A 15,796-nucleotide genomic window follows, 5' to 3' on the forward strand; every position below is an offset into this window, starting at 1 on the left:
CACACTCCAACAGCAGAGAATGATTCGGTTCAGAGTGGGTAATGGCAGGGCCATGGTCTTGGTTTAGGGATATTTCAGAACTTTAATATTTTGGTAACCCATGCTCTATAAATCATTGAATTACATCAAGTCTATTTAAAACCCCTCTGGGCAGCTGTTTAAAATGCTGTCACTGCAGTAAGCAATGTCCTTAGAGTCACATGGCAGGTTGGGGCCAAGAAGGGGATGGGTTTTGTTTGTGTTTCTTTAACTCCAGTTAGGTTTACCCTTTGACTCTCCACTTCTGTGAATAGTCCCTCCATTTCCAGTTATTTTAAAGTCAGAATATGAAGGCCGCTTAGTCCATCGGGGTTAAGCCTTCCCATCAAATCAAATTCTTCTTCCTTGCATTCTTCTCTTCAAGCCATTTAGTGAAACAAGCACAAATTGTTAACTTCAGATTAATATGTTTAATAAGTGAAATCTGGACTATTTCAGGAAGGCAGGCAGGCCAGCAGTCTGGAGGATTGGTTGCAGCTGAGGGTTCCCGTGGGCTTCTCCTGGGTCATTGCTGGGAGCTGAGACCACCTGTGGAGCACCTGTGGGCAAGGCGGGCCTAATTACCCCAGAGATCCTGGCTTTGCTGGTCTTGCTCTCTGGCCTCCAGATTTGCTCTGATTCTGACAATGCAGTGGGTATCAGAGCTCAGGTCCAGAGGAAAAGCCTGGAGTGAGTGAGGCTGCGAGCTTCCTCTTCAGAACTCTGCATGCTTATCGGGGTGTAATGCCTGCCTCCTGCTGCTGCTCCAAGCTCCTCCAGGAGAAGGACGCTGCTTCTGCCTGGTCCAGGATCGTATCAGGGTCTGGGTAAGCATGTGCTTGAGTGCACAAAAAGAAAAATGTAGCGTCAGCAATCTTGTTCAGAGTTTTTCGATCCGAAAAAAATACAAATTAAGAATGGAATGTGCTACTTTAATTTTAGCAGACATAAATATTGTAACCTTAACAAAATCAAATTTCATTTTGAATTCCACACTGCATGCGGGGTGGGAAGAGGACATCCTTATCTTTTCAGAGCCTTGGGCCCCACAGTGGTCTTTATCCTTCTCTGGCACATAGTGGGCACTTAATAAATTATCCAATCAGTTCATGAATACTACAAACTAAAAACAGGGGCTTTGAAGTCAAGATCTGAGTCTGACTCTTAGCATCCCACTAACTCGCTGTATGACCTTGGACAGATAGGACAACCCTTTTGAGTTTCAGGTTAATTTGTTGGGAGGATTAGGTGAGATAACGCATGCTATATATTATATATGTGGTCTCTATTAATAAGGAATGGTATATATCTAGCATAAAGTATGCCCTCCATTGGATGTGCCCCCGGGGCACCCATAACTGTCCTGTCTTGAGAGACAAGTGCTGGCTTTACCTCTGCCTTTGCAGGTTAAGGAAAGAGGGCAGAGGGGAGGGGAGGCGGCCCAACTTTCTGTGCCTGTCAAGGCAGGGTTGGGTAGCTGCGGGCTAGGAGGAGGATGCAGGCTCAGCTTCTGCCCCCGCCCACAGCCTGCAAACCGAGGAAGGCTGGCCCGCGGCTCTCAGGCAGTTCTGGCTCCGGCTCTGGCTCCGGCTCCGGCTCCGGGTCGGGCTCCCAGGCAGCGGCTCGGGCAGGCGGCCTTGTGGCTCCGCAACCCAACCTCTTCCCCTCCGGGCGCCTCCCGGCTCCGGGGTCCTGCTGCCTCTGGGACCTCCTCACCCCCAGACGTTGCTGTAGTGTGTGTGTGTGTCGGGGGGGTGGGGGGGTGGTGTGGTGTGTGTGTGTGTGTGTGTGTGTGTGTGTGTGTGTGTGTGTGTCCGGGGTCCTGCTGCCTCTGGGACCTCCTCACCCCCAGACGTTGCTGTAGTGTGTGTGTGTGTGTGTGTGTGTGTGTGTGTGTGATGGAGTTTTGCTCTTGTTGCCCAGGCTGGAGTGCAGTGGCAGCAATCTCGACTCACTGCAACCTCCGCCTCCGGGTTCAAGCGATTCTCCTGCCTCAGCCTCCCGAGCAACTGAGATTACAGGCGCCTGCCACCACGCCCGGCTAATTTTTGTATTTTTAGTGGGGACGGGATTTCACCATGTTGATCAGGCTGGTCTCGAACTACTGACCTCAGATGATCCACCCGCCTCGGGCTCCCAAAGTGCTGAGATTACAGTCGTGAGCCACCGCGCCAGCCCGTTGCTGTATTTGAACAGAAAAAAGCAATAGTACATAAAACAAAAGGACAGCACTGGGATCGAAAGACGATCTGCTCCTTCGGAAGAAAACACAGGGTGCGGCGGTGACTCGCAGAGCTCCCAGCGCCCCAGCGCCCCCGCGAGGCCCGGGCAGCGTCCGCGCTCCCTACAGGGGGAAGCCCGCCGGTGTTTGGGAATCCCAGCGGGGTCCCCAGCTTGCCGATCTCCCAGCCCTGACCTTACTGAGATTTCTCACTAGGTCACTGTTTGTTAAGAAAACAGAGTAACAGAAACGAGGCAAAGTCCATAATTTTCTTCTTGCAAAATTCTCAAGTTTAGGGCAAAGGCAAAGGGGGGATGGAAGTGTGCCCCGACTCTGTAAGATATTCCCCTTCTCGGAGTTGTCTCCAGTGCAGGGCCTTTCCCTTGTCTGCCTGCCTTGAGATGCTTCCTTTATTGCTAACAGACTGCACTGAAATGTTATCTCTCTCTCTCTCTCTCTCCCCTTCCTCTCTCTCTTGCTTCTGTTTCTTCCTGAGAGTAGGGGAGGCACATTTTCCTCTCCCCTCCGTCCCTCCCTCCTTCCCTTCCCTTCCTTTCTTCCTCCCTTTCTCTCTGTCTTCCTACCTTCCTTTCTTTTTGGTTGAGTGTATGTTACTTGATTTTTTTTTTTCTGATAATGACCACACTTTTTAACCTGTTGCTTTCTTTTAGGAAGTTTGACCTTTTTTTTTTCCTCTCTCATCACTCGCACTCTGCCAAAATGTAAAGCAAATGTTCAGAATTAATTTCTAATATATGGGTAGAGTCCTCCTCCCAAGCCAGGTCAGTGAAACCCCTGAGATATTTTTTATATGGTCTTTGTTGTAATGGTACTACCAGTTTTCTACCTGATAGCCCTGTTTCTTTCTCTCTCCCTTTCATTTTCTCCTTCCTTCTCTCTCTCTTTTTCTTTCTGGGACAGCACAAGGACTTGTTCAATTTCATCTTCATCAATTGCTAGCTTTGTGACCTTGGATAAATCATTTAGCCATTCTATGCCTCCACTTCTTTATCTGCAAAACAGAGTTAATAATGTCCAACCTATAGGGTCATTGGGCTGATAAAATATATTACATATCATAATGTACTCTCCACATAGAATACACTCAATGGGGACTGTTATAATAATAAGTTATGGTGCTGCTCTTCTGAATAAAACAATTTTTCTCATCCTCACCACCCACCTCTGCCCCCAACCCTTTAAGAAAAGTTTGGTTAATGGGTTCCAGGCTCTGGGATCTTAGGTTAGTCAGGTCTTCACAGTCCTTCGACTTAAATATTCATATCATTGTCCCCAAAAGAGAGACCAGTAGTTGCTTCCCACCCGAACATCTGTATCAACCTTCTAGTCTCTCTGCCTCTACTCATGCCCTATTTAGTCCATTCTCTAAACAGCAGTCAGTATGGTCTTTTAAAAGCAAAAATTCAAGAGAAAACAAGCAAACAAAAACCCCAGGAATTCCAGATTATGTCATTCCCTTTCTGGAAATCCTTCAGTGGTTTTTCTCTTGTACTTAATGTGAAATCTAAACCGTGTTCTCCAAGACGAAGGCTTGCCCGTGTGGTCCCACTCCAGCCTGTCTCCCACCACCCTGCCTCTTGCTGTGTTTCCACTCTAGGACCACTCTCCCACCTTTCTATTCTCTTGAAGGCAGGACGCTCCCCGCTCTGAGGCTCTGCACTCACTGTTCCTGGCCTGAAACTCTCTTCCCCGATGGACTCCCAGCTCATATGTCACTTCCTCAGAGATGCCATCCCACTACCTGATCTAAAGTAGCACCCACACCCCACCCCCAGTTACTTGCTATTTACTTTACCTTATTTCCATAGCACTGAAATTATTTATTCATCTATTGATCAAATGAATGAACCCACAATTTAGGGTGAAAAAAATAACTTGTAAACAACCAGCTCAAGCCAAAAGACCACAGAAACAAATGCAATAATAGCTTTCAATGAAAGGAGAGTCACAGGATTAACTAATTTCTAAAATCAAAACAATGAAAAAGATTATTATTAATAAGAAATCTGATTCTGTGGCCTGTGGTCAGGACTTGGGTGAATATAATTCTGCACAAAAGAGAGAAAATCTGACTTCTCTCAGCCTGAAGAAGGTGGAAAAATTTTCTCCAAGCAGCTTCCGTGAAAGTGAGAGGAGGGAATGGGTTTGTTATTGTAGCTATGACAATCTCCTATGTATTCTACACTTACACTGACTGAGTTTGTTAAGGTAACCAGATTTTGCTCACCTATTTTTTTCTCAGGCTCTCCCGAAAGGCCTGTTTTCTTGACTTAAAATAAATGTTTGGCTTCTGTGGAGAAAATTCCAGGCTGGGTACAGTGGCTAACGCCTGTAATCCCAGCATTTTAGGAGGCTGAGGTGGGCGGATCACTTGAGGCCAGGGGTTGGAGACCAGCCTGGCCAACATGGCAAAACCCCATCTCTACTAAAGATACAAAAGTTAGCTGGGTATGGTGGTGCACACCTGTAATCCCAGCTACTCAGGAGGCTGAGGCAGGGGAATCTCTTGAAGCTGGGAGGCGGAGGTTGCGGTAAGCTGAGATGGAGCCACTGCACTGCAGCCCTGTCTCAAAAAAAAAAAAAATTCTAGAAACAACATATACTAAGCAATTGGGTCAGAATTTTTCACGTCTCAACTTACTCCTTCTGAATTGCCTGGCTTGTATTGTTTAGAGCCTTTGGCTTTGATGGCTTTGGGAGTTTGTTGAACTATTGCAGATTTTGTATGCTTTTTCCTTGAGTAATTTGGTTTTGATCAAATCCCCAAATAAACTTTTTCCTAAGTTCTTTCCCCCTTAGTTTACAAGCTCATACGTATTCCAGAAGAATGTAATCCACATGCTTAAATTCATGTACACTCAGCTCATCCCAGGGTCATTGGCAGGGAGATGGATATTCAAAGCATATGAAGAATAAGAAATGTTTCCTAAAACATTGTGTGTGTGTGTGTGTGTGTGTGTGTGCCTGAAATAAAGACATATTGGCTCAGAACCCTAAGTAGGCAACTCCACCAGTTAGGTGTTACTCTGATGTGTGAAATAGGAAGGTTTTAAGCAGTAGATGATACAGGTACATATTATTCAAATTTAATTTTTAAAAAGATTATTTCTATTTTCCTGTTGTCATTTCTGGATTTTCCCTCTCTATTCAATTCCTGAGCAGATACTCCCAGACTAGATTAATTTTCCTATGTGAAAAGCCAGGTCAGAAAGATAAAATAGCCATGTGATTTGGGGCAAGTTAACAGTTAACAACTCTGAGCCTAGGTTTCTTCATCTGTTAAATACAGATAAAGGTGTTCATTCTGAAAAGTTATTGCAAGAATTAGAGATGGTGTAGGTAAATCTCCTAGAATAACATATGATCTGTACTAGAATGTTAACAAATAGTAAATGGTCTGAAAACTCCAGGCTTAGTAACATTTTATGAAGTTTTATGCTATTATCACCAAAGTCGGTTATCAGGTAGGTGTGTGTAGAGGAGTGTGCAAAAAGGAAACGGCTGCAGTGTGGCCAGGTGGTCAGGGTAGTGCCCTTGGTAGGGTGCTTTCAGAAGGGCTTCTTCAGGAGCAGCAGAGCTTTCTGACCTAAATGTTCAGGCAACAAGACACTACTGAGCTTAGCATCTATAGTAGATGGTCAATTGGCCATTTGGCTAAGGCCAACCAAATGTTGATAAGGGTAACAATGGGTTTGGGGCCACACTTTGGAAGACATTGTCATAAATAATGTTGGACTTGATGACTTTTGGACTTCACCTTCCCTTCCTTTTAAAATATTGGCTTTCTGCAGTGCAGTTCTGTGAACAGAGCAACCACTTCTAAACTGGGATGTGAAGAGTCTCTTTGTCCCAGCATGCATCTAAAATGTGCATGAAGTCACCATGAACATGAGGTGTCTCCAGGTTCTAGGATCTGCAGACCACAGGTTATGTTTTTTCTGTTAAGAGGGAGTATTTAGAGGGAATAATTAAAGGCAAGGGAAGCCATCCTAGGCAATCATGGGAAAGATGGTGTCAGATGGCAGGGCAAACCACTGTGGTAACCTCTAGAAGTAATTATGGACATCTGGATTGATGAAAAGACCTAAAGGGTGGCAGGCATTCTGCATTTGGGACTAGGCTTTCCCAAAGGAAGATAAATGGAAAAAACATGTTTGCCTTAACTGCTGACTCATGGTACAAAGTTTTAATTCAGAGACTTTAATTGAAAATGCAGCAAGAATGTAACAGATTTACATTAAAAATATTTTAGTATATTGGCAAGACATTAATTACAAAACCAGATGGTCATGGTAGAAAAATCAACCAAGAGGCCTTTGTTTTTCTTTTGCTTTCTTAGCATGAAAAATTTTTACTTTGCAAATTTCAATCTCCTGTTAATTATAAACAACATCACCTTTGTATTAAGATTAATGTAAAGAGTGATTATCTGTTGTTTTAGAATATTAAAAAAAAAACAGAAATCATCCTGATCAAAACCTAGAATATGAAAGCATTCTTGTGATAAATGTTTCATGACCAAGACACTAGTTCTTTCTCCCCAGAGGCTGGACTAATGAGACCATATTTCTTGGCTCTTATTGACCATGACCACTGTCTCAGTCAGGGGTCATTTGTTTACAACAGAAGGTTGGAACAGAACAGCCTGAAATCTGCTCAAAAAGGAGGGTTTATTGTAGGGATACAAGAGACTTTCAGAGAATCCATATTCAGGGGATATATTGGGCCAGAAAGCTCGCCTGATAATACATCCCTCCCTGTTTCTCTTAAGGCACAAAGTATCTTCTTTCTGTCTTCCTCTGCACACCTGCTCTAGGATAAACACATTGCTTTCCCAGGCTGGCTTTTCCTGCTTTTCTGAAATTAGTGCTCTGAACAATAGGCCCACCATGGCTGTCTATTTGGGTTTAGATCTACCACTGTTCTTTTCATTTACTATGTGTCCCATCTGTCTTTTATCCCTCTTTCTCTCCTTTCTTGTCTTCTGTCCTTTCTTAAATTAATTTAGTTTTTTAAAAGGTGTTCCATTTCCTACTCTCTATTTGCTTGTTGTTATATATTCTTTAGTTATTCTTTTGTGGTTACCACAGAGATTATAAATATGCATCCTTGATGTATTAGAGTCTACTATAAATTAGTACCATTAATACTTCTAGGACAATGAAAGAAACTTCCAGCATTTAAGCCCATTGCTATGGTTTGAATATATGAATATTTACATCACCTTCAAATTCATATGTTGAAATCCTCATCTTCAAGGGCATGACATTTGGAGATGGGACTTTTGGGGGGCAATTAGGTCAGGGTGATAGCACTCTCATGAGTGGGATTAACGCTCTTATAAAAGAGACCCCTGGAGAGATCCTGCACCCGTTCTACCATGTGAAGACACAGCAAGAAGGTATCATCTATAAGCCAGAAAGCAGGCCCTCACCAGACACCAAATTTGCCTTCATCTTGGACATCCCAATCTCTAGAACTGTGAGAAATAAATTTTTATTGTTTATAAGCCACCCAGTTTATGATATATTGTTATAGCAGCCCAAACAGACTAAGACATCCATTTACCCTATTTTGGCTATTGTTATTGTTGTCATATATTTTGTTTCTACATAGTTGTATTCTCACAAAACATCGTCATTATCATTTTATTTATTTATTTATTTAGAGATGGAGTCTTGCTCTCATCGCCCAGGCTTGAGTGCAATGGGGCGACCTCGGCTCACTGCAACCTCCGCCTCCCAGGTTCAAGTGATTCTCCTGCCTCACCCTCCTGAGTAGCTGGGATCACAGGCATGTGCCACCATGCCCGGATAATTTTTGTATTTCTAGTCGAGACAGGGTTTCACCATGTCGGCCAGGCTGGTCTCGAACTCCTGACCTCAGGTGATCCGCCTGCCTTTGCCTCTCAAAGTGCTGAGATTACAGGCGTGAGCCACTGCGCCTGGCCATCATTATCATTTTAAACAGTCAATATTCATTATGTTTTACCTGCATATTTACTTTTTCCATTTCTCTATATTCTTCCTGGTATTACCATGTTTCCATTTAGGATCATTTTTCTTTTGCCTAAATAACTTGCTTTAGTATATCTTTTACATAGATATCCTATCAACACATTCTGTTTTTATTTTGAACTCTACTCTGTGGTCTCTCAATGAGTTTATCTTCTATCTGTGGTACTTTCTGTGCCCAAATTTATGCAAATAAATTGTTTTCCCACCTTCAAGGATAGATTACCATAATTATGATAAGTTTTTATAGTGTATGGTTTAAAAATGTATCTTTTACCAAAAAGAGAGGATTCAAAGTGCATTTTATAACTGAAGACCTATCACATGTTAGGTTTTGAAGGCCTACTCTGTGTCAGGCAATGTGCTAGTCACTGGAACTGTAAAATTAAATGAGGCATGTTCTTCATAAAATCAAATGGGCATATACTATTGGAGAAGACAGATGAGTAAATGGTTACATTAAATGTGATAAGAATTATGCATAGGATATTTTAGGAACCAAAGGAAGAACATCCAAATTAGAATTAAGAATCAGGGCATATCTCCCGGGAAGACACCTTGGACTGAATTTTAAAGGAGTAGGAGTTGTTGAAGACCCACGTGTCAGTTAAGAGTTTGGTGAGGGGTTGCTTCCTGGCTTGTAGATGGCCACCTTCTTACTATGTTGTCACATGGACTTCCCTCAGTGGACATGGAGGAGAGAGAGAGAGCAAACTTCTGGTGTCTCTTCTTATAAGGACACTAATCCTATAGGATCAAGGCCCCACCCTTACGACCATATTTAATCTTAATTACTTCTGTAGAAGCACCCTGGGGGTTAGGGCTTCGGCATATAAATTTTGGGGGGCATGGAAACATTCAGTCCTTTATAGATAGATGGGTTTTATGAAAAAGACAGAAAAGCTATTTTTGTGCTGAAGTAGAAGAGGCAGTAAGAAGGGCAATATTAAAGATACAGGAGAGAGAGACAACATGGGTTGTTGAAATGATGGCCACCAAAAGCCAATGCATAAAGTCCTTAAAATAGCCTATTAAAAAAAGATGCTAAAGCATAACATTGGATCCTGGAGGGAAGGAGAAAGGAATTGGTGCCAGTGACGACATCTATAGATGTTTTGGGAGGAAATTGCCACCTAGTGTTAAGAAGCAAAGCCATCTGAGAATGTGGTGATGGTCAGGAGTAAGGAGCTTAGGGTAAAAGGTGGAAATATGATTGCTGAAGGGACAGCTGTACCAAGAGACAATGGATTGATAATGGCCCAGTTTCCGCCTTTGGATGATGATACTAGTTTAGGTAATTGCTTTACATATATTTGAGGTTGCTAATCTGCTCAGCCGTCACTACCATTTTGCAACAGCTCTCATCTGAAGACGGCAAATTGAAACTTGAGTTTAAAATCCTACCTTTGAGTCCAGAAGTACAGGATAGGGAACAATACAGTAGCAGATTACATTAAAACTAAAAGTAATTTTAGTTGACAGGACTATAAAAGTTAGTGCTGCTAAATGACTTTTTGGCTGCATAAATACAATATCTATACCAAAGAAGGTGAAAGCCCCTTTCCAATCTGTGCCTGTCAGGACATAACTGGAGAATTCTGACCAGTACACGTTAAGAACACAGATAAACTATGTTATAGTTACACAGAACAACAGACAGGACTCATGCTTTGCTATGTGACACGTGAACATAGACTCCCAGGGACATTTAAACTGGAAAAAAGAAGATTCAGCAATAAGAAGATCATTGTCCATTTAATCAGTCTATTCATCTTTTTTATTAAGTGCTATCACTTCAAAAGATCTTTCACACCTGCAGGCTTATTGCATCCCTATGACTTCTCTCAGACATAGGGACATTATTGCCCAGACTTCACGGACAGGGAGACTAGGACACCTAGAGGATAAATACAGGAGACAGTTTGGGCAACTGACATTCAACAACTTGCTCAGCCGTCTCACTTCTGACTTTCATGATAAATGTTTTCTTTTCTGTTCTCCTTTCGTAGCAATCCTCCCATCCTTCAGAGCTCAGCTTAAGGTCCCTATACAAAGGCTTCCTCTGCCTCATTGAGCCCTCACTGATTTTCATCTCCTTTGAAATTTGACAATGTTCAAAACAATATAAATAAAAGGACATATTTTGCCATGGGAATGTAATACTTGCTGATATATTATTTTTTGTTGTTTGCTCTAGTTTTAGATGTGTTTGTCACCTCTCCCTACATATAGTGAGAGTTGGGGTTATGTTTTATTCTTTTTTCTTATGTCCCATAGGGCTTAGCCCAGTACTAATTTGTTTCTTACAGTTATGAAGGCTGAGAAGTCCAAGGTTGAGGAGCCATGTCTGGTGAGGGCCTTCTGGCTGATGAGGACTCTCTGCAGAGTCCCAAGGCAGTGCAGGGCATCACATGGTGAGCGGGCTGAGTGTGCTAGCATGTACTCAGGTCTCTCTTCCTCTGCTTCTAGAGCCACCAGTTCCCCTCCCATGATAACTCATTAAACTATTAACCCATTAGTCCATTCATCCATGAATGAATTAATCCATTCATGAGAGCAGAGCCCTCATGACCGTATCATCTCTTAAAGGCCCCATCTCTCAATATTGCCACGTTGGGGATTAAGTTTCAACATGAGTGTTGGAGGGGAGAAACACAAACCAACACTATATCTCCAAGGCTGTTCACTATGCACACTTGCTTGAAAAGGTGATCGGAAACAAAAGACAGTGCCTCCACTTGTGAGGTGCGTAGAGATGTGAGAGACCCATGGAGAATTGTCTTCCAACTGTAGATAATTCTCATATATTCCCATGTTAACATTTTAGTAGCTAATCAGAATTGCCAATCAAATCCTTGACATTCTTCTGATCAATAGAGTAGGTCATCAAAACTGGAATCCCGTGAGGTTTAAAGTAATTGTTTTGTTTGTAAAATACATCCTGCAAATATTTTTATTTTTCTGAATTGATCCTTAAAAAAAAAAGTTATTCTTGACTGGTCTGAAGCATCTATTGTCCATTTTAAGCTTTACATCTGGACAACTAGTTTCCGAGACTTCATGTATTTAAGTGTATTTAAGGGCAATGCTTTTTATTTTCTCTGCATTAGCCATCCACTGGCTATTTATTTAACAACAATCCCATTGCACTGAATACATTGTCCTTCATGATGTAGCCTCAGCCTTCTTCAAACTCATTCACCCATGTATGCTCTGCCCCAGCCTAATTACTGGAAGCTCCCCAAACATGACCGGTTCTTCCATCCTCCATGCCTTATGTACACTGTTTCCTCTGTTGGAAAGCCTGACTCGTCAAGCAAACTCCTACTTGTCCTTCAAAACTAGACTTGTGCTTTACCTCCCCTCCTTCCCTATGTCCCCTAAGTGGAATTATTGACCTCTTCGTTCGTGACATTTGTTCATTTCTATAATAGTGTATATTATATTGCATTGTAATTATTTGTTTACATAATGATCTCCCCACAGTTAGCGTGTGGGCAGAAACTATGTCTCTATATTCCCAGTGTGAAACATAGTAGATGTTCAACAAACCTTTTTCTTTGAATGAAGGAGTACATTAGTCAGACTTCCTAGTTAGGAGTTACTGAAACAGACTCAAATGGTCTCAGGAAAAAGTAAAGGATTTGCTAAGTAGCTACTGCAGACAGATCAAAAGGCTGGAAGGCTATGTTTGGAAAATGGGCAGGATGTAAGGAAACTAAGGAGGCCAATCAGCAGAAATAAACAGATTTTCACTATCATCTTATATTTGTGCATCATTCCCATGAGATCCTCAGGCTGGGGAGGGTGTTTTATTGACTGAGCCTGTGTCACTCATGGACAAACTGGGATAAGGTTGACCTACCCCCTTAAGCTTGCAAGGCTGAGGGATGGGGGAAGACGCTACTTCCCACCAAGCTTACACACAATGGGGGAAAAGCAATTATCTGAAAGGAAACTGGAATGTCATCAGTAGGGGAAAGAAATGTGTCTAACTCCAAAAAATGACCAATATGTACTACTAATAACTGAAACTTTCCAAAAAAAAGAGACTATGATTTAAAAATCAATTTAACATTGAATGGTTTGATTATCAGCAAAATCACCATGACATTTAGCACCTTTCTTTTCCTTGATGAACTAAGAACTCTTGCATAGATTTAATAATGTGTTATGTACCCCCTGGGTGTCTGATTTACTGACTTGAGCTGAATGATTGGACTCAATACAAATAAAAAGAGCTTGCAAACTTCGCCCATGGTTTCCCAGACATCAAGGAACTAAGCTCTTTTGCTCCCTGGAGAGGCTAAAAATTCTAAAATGAAGTGCCCTCTGCTCTGGTTTCTGCTTTTCAGCATTTCTCTTCTGTTTTCACATACTTTTGCTGCTTTAAAATTAAATCTAAGAAACTCATTCCATATTTTTCATCATCTGCTTTTGAAAGTGAATGTTATGGATTTATGGTTTGGGATTCTTTGATGTTAGAGCAGCAACTATGCTTGCTTCACTTGTTTTTGTTTCATTTTTTTTTTTACATTTATGAGGCTTTGATAATTTGATTTATTAAAATGCCACAGTCAATGTAGGGGAACTGACACCATTCGCATTGTTGGAAAGCGTCATGAAACATCAGGCGCTAGTTCCCCATGGAGCGCTTACCTCTATTATTATATCTCCCCCTCCCCTTTGGTCTTCAGGAAAGTTTGGCATTAAACTTAAGCTGCACGCAAAGAATATTCATTCCTAGAACATTTCAGTATTTTTGGATTGGATTCCATCCCCCAATTTTGATTTTGTATCTGCCAAGATGTACAGAGTGGTACATCTAAAGCTAGTTATGATACACAAGCTAGCTTTCCTTATCAAGGAACAGAAATATTCCTTCCTCTTACCCTGTAATCATTGCATATCTGGTATATTAAAAATTGAATTTCATATCGTATCCCTTTAAATGTATTAACAAGTGCAGGTTGGAACTTTACATTATGAATCCCTAAGGATGAGTAATGACTAAAGGACAAGACTGACCCTTTCTGCAAGTGGAGGGTGTTTTTTTCTTTTCCATTTCTATAGGAAGAGACAGATGAAGAGAGAGGGAGAGAAAACAGGACAAGTTTACCCAGAATGAAAACCTGGATAAGAAGATTACCATAAGAGCTTAAAACCATAGAAAAAAATGTCAGGGTTGGAAAAGTCCCTAGACTCTTCATTCATTATAATTCCCTCTACCAGTCCACTGGGTTTCAGGAAAACAGGAACACTCATATGCTACTGTTTAAGTGAGTGAGTGAGTGTGTGTGTGTGTGTGTGTGTTTGTGTGTTACAGGATATTATAAGAATAGAATAGGGAATCTTCCAGGTATCTGAGGAATAGAAAAAAGCCAGGTCACATGGGAACCAGGACTGGAAAGTCAGAAACCAACAGGATTCTATCTCTTTCCATTTGTCAGGGACTACACAGTCTCTTTCTTCTCCTCAAAATTGACCATTCAGCTCACAGTGGAATATAGCCTTATTACAGTAGTCAATCCTTATCCAAGGCTTAATTTTTTTGTGGTTTTAGTTACCCACGATTAACCATGGTCTGAAAATATTACATACAATAAGATATTTTGAGAGAGAGAGAGAGAGACTATATTTATACAACTTTCATTACAATATATTGTTAAGTGTTCTATTTTATTATTATTATTGTTAATCTCTTACTGTGACTAATTTATAAATTAAACTTCATCATAGGTATGTATGTACAGGAGAAAACATAGTAAATGTAGGATTCAATACTACCGGAGGTTTCGGGCATCCATTGAATGTCATGAAACATATTTCCCACTTATAAGAGGGGACTAGTGTATATTTTTTCATTCAACAAGAAAATAGGCAATTAGAAAAGTCAGAAAATACAAAAAATCATGGTTTAAACATGAAGCAAACTAATCTATGGGATTATTTTGAACTGATGAAGTGTCAAGAGAGAGAATCCGTTTAACTGTGGTACTCGGAATATTCTTAGCGTGATGCAAGTTTGATAACAAGAATTACAACACCTTCCTAATGGATTCATTCACGTGACCTAATAATAATAACAATAATGAACACTTATTGACATTTTACTATGTGTCAGGTACTGTGCTAATGCTTTATAGATTATTTAATCTTCAAACAATTATTTGAGGGTAGGTATTATTATCTCATTTTTTTCAGATGAAAAATTGAGGCATAGAGAGATTGAGTAACTCTACCAAGTCACACGGCTCTTCAGTGGCAGAGCTATTCTAAGCCGCATGATTTACTTCTATGATATATTGCTTCTGGCTAAGCTATGTTATCCAATCAGCAATAAATTATTTACACAATCATTATTATAAACGCTTTTTTGATTTTTTAAAGAATTATTCTATAAATAAAGCATGTGACTTGATTATAATAACAAGAGAATATAAACATTATCAACCTTGATCACATAAAAATAGTAATATAAAGTTAGGGGAAAGAGAGGGGAACAAAAGGAAAAGAACACTGACTTCCTCATATTTCTCAGTAAAAGATATTATTTAACATTACTACATCAAAAAGCTGTGTTTTTAAAGTTATAAACATAGCCAATAGAACTAAAAATAAAAACAGGTTAACAAAAGTTGGAAGGGTGGTTAATATATGTGAGTCAAATTCGTAATTTTTTAAAGCACTATTCAAGAAATCCTTGAAGTTGATAAGCAAAGAAACAGTATAAACATGTTATTTGAATTATGTAGATGACTACCAGGAAAAAAAAACTATAAGCAAGTGAAAACCAGTTACCTACAAAAAGTGAGCCTGGGGTGCTGATTATGGAGTGAGATTTTTACTCTTTATTTTATTTCTTTCCATTTAAGTGATTATTTCCATGTGCACACATTACTTTTTATAATAAGAACCATGCCCATATTATTCACTTCGGTAAATCTACATCTAGGTTTCCATCCCAGAGAAATGCACATCATATACATGTAAGTGGCACCAAGTGGGATGAGGGGCTTCTTCCAAAGGCTGGAACCACAGCCCCCCAGGGGGCTCTGGGTAAACATTCCTAGCCCCAGTGGTCTTGGGTTCTTTTGTACCTATCTGAATGCTATTACACGCCCACCCATCCCAAGGTTCAGCCCAGAGATGGGAGAAAACAAGGACACTTCTGAACTTTTCACTCACTCTTCTCTTTTACATAGTCCCAGGTGGGAGTTCCACTTCCTCTTCCGGTCTGTGTCTTACCATTCTAATCCCAGGGCACAAAAAGCCTCAAGGTTTCGCCTTAAGGGTGGATGGGGTACATGAAGGAAAAGTAGCTTACAGAAATGGGTACACAATTTTGGGAGGTATTTGAAAGGTATTGTCTCCTGTACATATATAGATGCATGGAAAATGGTCTGCAAGGATACAGGCCACTTCAAAAGCAGTTGGCACCTCTAGGGAGAGCAGTGGGGGAGGGGAGGATGCATTCATGTAGGACACAGGTAATTGTGGGTTTTTTTGGTGCTATGGACAT

The 15,796-nt window shown here is 41.0% G+C and overlaps 1 protein-coding gene across 1 annotated transcript in view, besides 1 other annotated feature; it reads left to right on the plus strand.

Annotated features, from left to right (window-relative positions):
• Positions 1-644: 644 nt before the first annotated feature.
• Positions 645-15,796, plus strand: part of PRKCH (protein kinase C eta) — a 363,509-nt gene continuing 348,357 nt past the window's right edge. Inside the window, exon 1 of the mRNA XM_024449661.2 lies at positions 645-845. The gene's annotated coding sequence lies outside the window, so the exon portion shown is untranslated. The remainder of the gene's footprint in view (positions 846-15,796) is intronic.
• Positions 2,461-2,560: an enhancer, noted in NCBI's record as "active region_8486". NCBI's record gives its function as "activates an Ori minimal core promoter by ATAC-STARR-seq in GM12878 lymphoblastoid cells {active_cell/tissue: GM12878}" and the evidence as "EXISTENCE:reporter gene assay evidence [ECO:0000049][PMID:35858748]".

The sequence above is a fragment of the Homo sapiens genome, chromosome 14, assembly GCF_000001405.40.
Source record: "Homo sapiens chromosome 14, GRCh38.p14 Primary Assembly".
NCBI lineage: Eukaryota > Metazoa > Chordata > Mammalia > Primates > Hominidae > Homo > Homo sapiens.